Raw genomic sequence first — 9,236 nt, 5'->3', positions numbered from 1 at the left:
AGAAACCCTGTCTCTACTAAAAATACAAAATTAGCCAGGCGTGGTGGCACATGCCTGTAATCCCAGCTACTCAGGAAGGCTGAGGCAGGAGAACTGTTTGAACCTGGGAGGCGGAGGTTTCAGTGAGTTGAGCTCATGCCACTGCACTCCAGCCTAGGCAACAAGAGTGAAACTCGGTCTGAAAAAAAAAAAAAAAACAAACACCATGGGATCTCTGGAGACCCCACTCATTATCACGAGAACAGCATGGGGGTAATTGCCCCCATGATTCAATTACCTCCCACTGGGTTCCTCCCACGACACATGGGATTATGGGAACTACAACTCAAGATGAGATTTGGGTGGGGACACAGCCAAAGTATATGACGGGTAAACATGAGTAAATGTTTTTCTGAGTTTTTCTGAGTTGTTTTTAGCAGAGTATTAAACCTGAAAGGAGGTCATAGAAACCCCTGAATTTGTAGCCAAGCTGGACATTAGTTATGGGTACCCTGGAGACCCAGGACTGGTGAGGACTGGTGTCTGAAGTGAGGACAGTCTTGTGAGACTAAGCCCTTTAACTTGTGGATTCTGCACTATGAGTAGTTAGTGTGTAGACCTTTATATTCTAGATAAAAGTTTTTTGCAGGATGTGTGGTTTGCAAATATTTTCTCCGGTCTGTGATTTGTCTATTCATCGTTTTAGCAGGAAGTTTCACAGAGCAAAGGTTTAAATTTTTATGAAGTCTAATTTATAATTATTTCTTTTTATGGATTATTCCTTTGGTGTGCAGTCTAAGAACTATTTGCCTAGTCCTAGGTCTGAAGATTTTCTTCTATTTTTTTTCTAGAAGTTTTACAGTTTTATATTTTACATTTAAGTCTTTGATCCAGTTTGAGTTAATATTTGTATAAAGTGTGAGGTTAAGGGTTTTGTTTTTGTTTTTGTTTTTGCCTATGGATATTCAATTGCTCCGACACTATTTATTGCAAAGACCATCTCTTCTTCCTTTTTAGATTGTTTTCCTTCTTTTGTCAAAAACAATTGGGCATGTTTATGTAGATATATTTCTGGGTTCTCCAGTCTGTTCCATTGATCTATGTTTCCATTCTTCTGCCAGTACCACCCTTTCTTGATTACTGTAGCTACATAGTAAGCCTTAAAATCATAAAGAGTGATTTATAGTTCTTTTTCAAAATTGTTTTGGTTATTCTTAAAGCCTTTACCTTCCCATATAAATTTTAGAGTAAATTTCTCTATGTCTACAAAAAATGGTGATGATTTTTGGGTAAGAATTGTGTTAAACCTATACAGCTCAATTTAGGAAGAACTGACCTGTTTACTATGTTGAGCCTTCCAATCTGTGAACATGTTGTGTCTCCCCAAGTATTTAGGTCTTCTTTTTTGTAATTAGCATTTTGTAACTTTCTTTATACAGATTCTGTACATGCTTTATTACAGGGGTCTCCAACCCCCGGGCCACAAACCAGTACTGGTCTGTGGACTCTTAGGAACTGGGCCACACAGCGAGAGGGGAGTGGTGGGCGAGCTGGCATTACCACCTGAGCTCCACCTCCTGTCAGATCAGTGGCATTAGATTCTCATAGGAACACAAACCCTATTGTGAACTGCTCCTGCAAGGAGTCTAGGTTGCATGTTCCTTATGAGAATCTAACTAATGCCTGATGATCTGAGGTGGAACAGTTTCATCCGCAAACCATCCTCCCCACTCCACCTCCTGCCAGTTCATGGAAAAATTGTCTTCTATGAAATTGGTCCCTGGTGCCAAAAAGGTCACTGCTTTATTAGATTGACACTTACATATTTCATTTTCTTTGAAGCAATTGTAAATGGTATTGTGTTTTCGATTTTGGTTTCCATTTGTTCATTGTTACAATATAGGAATTCAGTTGATGTTTGTGAGCTGATCTGTATTTTGCAATCTTACCAAACTCTTAGTTCTAGGAATGTTTTTGTAGATTTCTTAGAGTTTTCTACATAGATAATCACGTTATCTGAAAATAGAGACAGTTTCATTTTCTTTTCTCCAATCGGTGTGCCTTTTAATTCTTCTTCTTGCCTTATTACAGTTCATAAAACTTCTAGTGCTATGTTGAATAAGAGTGTAAGAGATGACATTCTTTTCTTTCTTTTTTTTTGAGATGGACTCTCCCTCTGCTCTGTTGCCCAGGCTGGAGTGCAGTGGCACGATCTCGGCTCACTGCAAGTTCTGCCTCCCGGCCTCCGGGGTTCACACCATTCTCCTGCCTCAGCCTCCCGAGTGGCTGGGACTACAGGCGCCTGCCACCACGCCCGGCTAATTTTTTGTATTTTTGATAGAGACGGAGTTTCACCATGTTAGCCAGGATGGTCTCAATCTCCTGACCTCGTGACCCACCCGCCTCAGCCACCCAAAGTGCTGGGATTACAGGCGTGAGTCACTGCACCTGGCCAAGAGGTGACATTCTTGCTTTTTTCCCAATCTTAGAGGAAAAGCATTCAACCTTAAGTATTCGTCCTTAAGAATGATGTTAGCTGTAGATTTTCCCAAATGCTCTTTATAAGGCTGAAGAACTTCCCCTCTGTTCCTGAGAGTTTCTGGGTGTTTTTGTTTTTGTATTTTGGTAAATTTTGAATGGATGTTGAATTTTGTGAAATACGTTAGCCACATTATTGATATTATCATGGTTTTTATTCTTTAGCTTCTTGATATAATAAAATATATTGATTTTTAAATACTGAACAACACTTGCATACCTGAGTAAATCCCCCTTGATGGAGATGCATTATTCTTTCTATTGTTGAATTTGATTTGCTAACATTTTTGTGTCTACACTTGTGAGAGATATCGATCTATGCTATTCTTTCTTTTTCTTTTGATGCTATCTTTGTCTGGTTTTGATATCAGAGTAATTCTGGTCTCATAAAGTGTATTGGAGAGTGTTCTCTTCTATTTTCTGGAAGACAGACAGTGTGTAAAATTAGTGTTAATTCTTCTGTGAATGTTTGGTAAAATTCTCCGGTGAAACCATCTGGGCCTGGAGATTTCTTTTTTAGGAACTTTTAAATTATGAATTGAATTTCTTTACTACTTATAAGGCTATCCAGGTTATCAGCTTCCTCTTGATTGAGTTTTGATAGTTTATGGTTTTTAAGGGGTTGGTCAATTTCTTCTAAGTCGTTGAATTTATGAGTATAAAGCTTTTCATAGTATATTGGATTTCCAGGGCTGCTGTAATGAGTACCACAAACAGGGTGGTTTAAAACAACAGAAATGTATTGTCTCACAGTTCTAGAGGCCAGGGCCTGAAATCAAGGAGTCAGCAGGGCCATGCTCCCTCGAGACCCATGGGGAGAATCCTTGCTTGTCTCTTTCTAGCTTTGGTGGCTGCTGGCAACGTGCAGTACTTCTTGGTTTGTAGCTGCATAACTCCAACCTCTGCCTTTGTTGTCACATGGCATTCTCCCTGTGTGTCTCAGTCCTCACATGGCCTCTTCCTATAAGGACATCATCATACTGGATTAGGAGCCCACCCTGCTCCTTGATGACCTCATCTTAACTAATTCCACCTGCAATGACGCTGTTTCCAAATAAGGTCACATTCTGAGATATTGGGGGTTAGGACTTTAACATTTCTTTTTGGGTTGGGGGAATACATTCACCTCATAACAGTAGTCTTCCTCTATTAGCCCTTTAATGGCTGCGGGATCTCCCCTGTTTAATTCCCGATATGGGAGATTTGTGTCTTCTCTCTTTTTACCTGTGTCCATCTCACTAGAAGATTTTCAATTTTATTAATTTTTTTTACAAAAACCAGCCTTTTGTTTAATTTTCTCTGTTGCTTTCCTGTTTTCAATTTCATTGGTTTTCACTGATATCTTTACTATTTCCCTTCTTCTGCCTATGATGGTTTGTTTGGCTTTTCTTCTAGTTCCCTGAGATTGGAACTTGGGTCATTTATTGGACCCTCACCACCCCCCGAGGGGTCTCAGGAGGCACCGCGAGGTCCAGCCTGGCTGCATTCTGCATGGTGTCAGCTCCTGCCCTGCTTCCTCTCCACCGCCTGTATCTGGAATGATAAAGAAGATGATGTATGGGAAATTCAAGTATTTGAGCTATACCTAGAGTAAGCCCTCCCCTCCCTCTTTCTCCCAACCTTCAAAAAGTTAGCGGTATCATTTCCTTACAAGAATTTTGTTCTTTTACTCAATAATAACTTCAAAATGAAACCTCGATACATTATAAATGATGTCAGTAATACTAAGGACACCTTTGGCACCCTACTTTTAGATTTCCCCTTAGGTCTGCCCCACATTTTTTTGGTGGAGCCTCAGAGGCCACCGCTCTTTTCTCTTTCTGGTTGCTGATCTATGCTCTTTCAATGTGACTAGAAGAGCAGATTCAGCTACATAGGTCTTTGGGACTTACGTGTTTGCATCTTTGGGGGAATGTTATCAGAAATTTGGATCTAATATGCAATATCCATCTACACTCTGGATTAAAATAATCACATTGGATTAGTCAAACACGAGTCACTGTGGTATTTAGAATAAAATAGATAAGTCAAAGAGTCTGCATTGAAATAACGTTGAAGTTCAACTTGCAATGTTTTAGAGAATGCATGCTTTCTGGATGTTTTGAGCGGAGAATATAATTATGCTTCAGTAAGTGAGCTACTAAATTGAAGAAGTATAAAAAACTACCTTATGAAATTGTGAAGTAGAAAACAATCTTTTCTTTAATGTCTACAAATAGGTTTTTAAGGTCCTTTTTGCATGCTCAGTACAGGTCAATATCAGAATTGCTCATTATAGTTCTTTGCCTCTGCCTTGCTCCACTGACAAAGCTGAATCCCATGGAAACTTGGCCATTATGCTATAATTGCAATCAAACAGGATTTGGAGCAATTGTTACTAGAAACTTGAAAAACTGGGGGTGGCAGAGGAGAAAAGGCTATGCCAGGAACCAGGACAAATACTTTGATTCACAGTTAGGCCATATCATTGCCATGGGCAAGGGATGAAAAGATTGTTTGACTAAAGAAGACCTGCATCAAAGGGAGTATCTACAGGGTTATTGAAAAACGCATAGGTGATGGGAAATTGGTCTTGACACTTTTTTTATTTATAAAAATTTATGAATGCCTTTTTTATGATCTTGTGAGGTGAATAATGAGGGAATTGTTCTGAGACTTTTATACCTATGTCTGAGACACTATCTGATGGACATTATTCATTGTACATTTTTCTGTTCTCCCTGCTCTATCCTCCTACTTCCAATTTTTGGAACATTTTTAAACCTTGAGAAAAGTTAAAAGAATAATATGCTTTTCCCCATAGTTTCTTCTCTTTCTGTATACCTTTTTTCTGACTTCTTACTAATTTTTTTCCCCTGATGACAGCCTACCGTTGAATTTTTTTTTAACACTGTAGAAACAGCCTTTATTGGTTGCAACATGGATTGGAAGAGGAGGGTGTATGATAGCTCCCACTCCTGGGGCAGCACCCACAGACTCAGTCGCCACTTTCCAAAAAGCTAAAAAGAAATCTTATTGTGTATATTTAAGGTATACAACATAATGTTATGGGATACATATAGACAGAAAAATGGCTTCTGTAGTGAAGCAAATTAACATACCCATCATCTCCTATAGATAGCCTTTTTTATGTGTGTGGCAAGAGCAGCTAAAATCTACTCATTTAGCAGAAATCCCAAATACTGTACAATTTTATTAATAGTAGTCCTCATGTTGTACACTGGATCTCTAGACTTGCTTATTCCCCATGTCTGCTACTTTGTAACCTCTAACCTACATCTTCACATTTCCTCTCCCAGTCATTATTTTCTGAACCGCTGGAAAGTAAATTACAAAAACCATGGCACTTCATCCCTAAATATTTCATTATACTTCTCTCAAGAGTAAGAACATTCACTTTCATGTACAATGCAATGATCACATCTAAGAAAATTATCAGTAATTTCACAATATCATTTAATATACTGTGTATATTCAGATTGCCACAATTGTCCCCAAAAGGTTTTTTATGGCTGTGTGTCTTTTTCAATCCAGGAGCCAATCAAGGTTCATGTTTTACCTTTTTTTTTTGAGACGGAGTTTCACTCTTGTTGCCCAGGCTGGAGTGCAATGGTGCAATCTCGGCTCACCGCAACCTCCACCTCCTGGGTTCAAGCGATTCTCCTGCCTCAACCTCCCGAGTAGCTGGGATTACAGGCATGTGCCACCACACCTGGCTAATTCTGTATTTTTAGTAGAGAAGGGGTTTCTCCATGTTGGTCAGGCTGGTCGGGTACTCCCAACCTCAGGTGATCTGTCCTTCTCAGCCTCCCAAAGTGCTGGGATTACAGGCATGAGCCACCACGCCCGGCCCATGTTTTACTTTTTATACCTGGTATATTTTTTAATCTATTTTATACCTGGTATATTTTTAATCTAGAATACTATCTCCTCTCTTGCCCTTTTTCTCTCATCAAATTGTCTGTTTTGTAGGATTGGCAGATTTAGAAAATTTAGAAAAGGATGCTCAGTTAACCTGAATGTCAAATAAACAATGAATCATCTTTTAGCATAAAATGTCCCGTGCTCATACTAAAAGCTAATTTGTTATTTATCTGAAAATCAAATTTAACTCAGTATCCTGTATTTTATCTAACAACTCTGCTTTTTAAAAAGTTCAGACTGCCGGGTGCGGTGGCTCATGCCTGTAATCTCAGCTACTGGGGAGGCTGAGGCAGGAGAATCACTTGAACCCGGGGCCGGGGGGAGGTTGCAGTGAGCCGAGATCTCGCCACTTCATGCCAGCCTGGGTGAAAGAGCGAAAATCCGTCTCAAAAGATAAAAAAAAAAAAAAGCTCAGACCAGTTCTATTATAGAGTAGCTCAAATTCTGGATTTGCTTGTTTTCTAGTCATTTGATTTTGTAAACATTTTTTACAAAAATTTCTAGATGATGTTGCATATTTCTTATTGCCTCACACTGGGTGGTACGTATCTACAAGTCTCATTAATTACTGGCTAAAGACGGTGACTGCAAATCTCTCTGGTTGAAAGCACTTTCTTTCTTTTGGAATTATTAAATAATTGTGGAGTAATATTCTGAGAACAGGTGAATACTCTGAGACCAGGTGAGATGTTCTCAATCATCTTCTGCACAATAATTTTAACATTCATTAGTGATCACTTCCTCAATTATTTCCTTGTGGGTTATGAAATAATTTTTTAATGTTAGCATTCCTTCTAGTTTTATTACTAGCTGGCATTCATCTGTAAAGAAGAATTTTCCTTCTTTAATGCTCTTTTGTAGTATCACTATATACTAGTGGAATTTTAAAAATTCAATTTGTTATAATTCGTTACTGTCGTTATTCTGTTATTGCTCAAATTACGCCAGTTTTGGCCAATGGAAGCCCCTTGCAAGTCTGCTCTTTGGTCCCTTGGATATAACCCCATTTTGTCCTTTCGTGCTTGCTTTCATCCTATCATGAAAAAATGTCCCAGGCTCATTTTTGTGCTCTTGTTGTCTAGGAGGAATCAGCCTTTTCCCCTGTCAGTTTTGTGCCTCCCTGCTCCAAATCCATTGTCTCTGCCCTGCTCTGTGATACTGCTGGAGATGGACCCTGTGAACGTGCTTCCTTTGCCAACTGGCACAGTGGCAAGCTTTGTCAGTAGAGGGCACTGGAGGGACACTGCTGTGCACACAGAGCACCTTGTGGCACTCACCCTCCAGCTAGCCTCCTGCTCAGCTGGCCTGCCCCATGGTTTTCCTTCTTTGCTGGCCTCAGTCTGCTGGAACCCCTGTGGGAAGTCTCTTGTTTTCCAACTTGAGCCCACCAGTTGGACCACTGTGGACCAGCTCTGACTCAGGATAACACAGCAGACTTCTCTGCCATCCCTTGGGCTGTGACTGTACCCTTTCCAGTGAAGTCTGAATCTCAGGAGAGGGCCTCTCCTTTTGCAAGTTGTTCCTTATATGGGCACTTTCAGCCCCATGGTATTGTTAATGTTCTCTTATTTCTCTTATTCTCTCTGGTTATTCTCCTCTTTCTAGTTAATAATTCTTTAAATTAAATTTTCCCTGTTCAAATGACTGGTCTCTTTTCTGTCTTCTGAATGAACCCTGACTAATAGAGAAGTGATGCAGGGAATAGTTGTTAAATAGTACCACTATTCAAATAAGTGATTCCAGGAGTAACTTGGTCATGCCCTTGGATTTGAGCACAGTGCCAAGCCCCTTGCCAAGCATGTGGGAACAACACCATCAATCCAGCCATCACCTGCAGGTGAGTGTGAGGAAGTGCCCACTGCAGCAAGTATGCTGGGAGCCTAAGGGGCTGCTGCACCTGACTAATGATATCTACAAGGACTATGGCATGGCATTGTCTTCTCATCATTAGAAGAGGTTTCTCCACACCCAGACTGTGAAGTTACTCACTCATGTATTTATCTAATATCTTTATAGTTTCCTTTTAAATTTATTGATTATTTAAAAAATTGATATGCAATAGTTGTCTGTATTTTGGGGGCACATATGATGTTTTTGTGTGTGCATATAGTGTGTAATGATCCAATGAGCATAACTGAGATATCCATTTCCTCAAACATTTATCTTTGCTTTATGTTGGGAACACTTGAATTCTTGTCTTTTAGGGTTTTTAACAAATGTATATACAGTAAATTATTGATAGTTACCCTACTGTACTGTCAAATGCTAGATCCTATTTCTTCTACCTAACTGTATATTTGTACCCATTAATCAACTTTTCTTCATCTGCCCCTTACCCTCACCCTCCCCAGCCTCTTGTAGAACCACCAATTTACAGTCTATCTCTATGTGATCCACTTTTCTAGCTACCACATATGGGTGAGAACATGCGATATTTGTCTTTTTGTGCCTGTCTTATTTCACTTAATATAATGACCTCCAGTTCCATCCATGTTGCTGCAAATGACAGGATTTAATTTCTTTTTATGGTCAAATAGTACTCCATTGTGTGTATATACCACATTTTCTTTATCTATTCATCATGAGGGACATTTACATTTATTGCACATCTTGGCTATTGTGAATAGTGCTGCCATAAACATTGAAGTTCAGATATCTCTTCCACATATTGATTTGCTTTCTTTTGGTTATATGCTCAGCAGTGGGATTGCTAAATAATATGGTAGTTCTATTTTTGTTTTTTTGAGAAGTCTCCATACAGTTTTTCATAGTGGCTGTACTAATTTACAGTTCTC

This window comes from Homo sapiens, chromosome 4 (genome assembly GCF_000001405.40).
Source record: "Homo sapiens chromosome 4, GRCh38.p14 Primary Assembly".
In the NCBI taxonomy this organism is placed as follows: domain Eukaryota; kingdom Metazoa; phylum Chordata; class Mammalia; order Primates; family Hominidae; genus Homo; species Homo sapiens.
Note: the sequence above shows the minus strand (reverse complement) of the source record.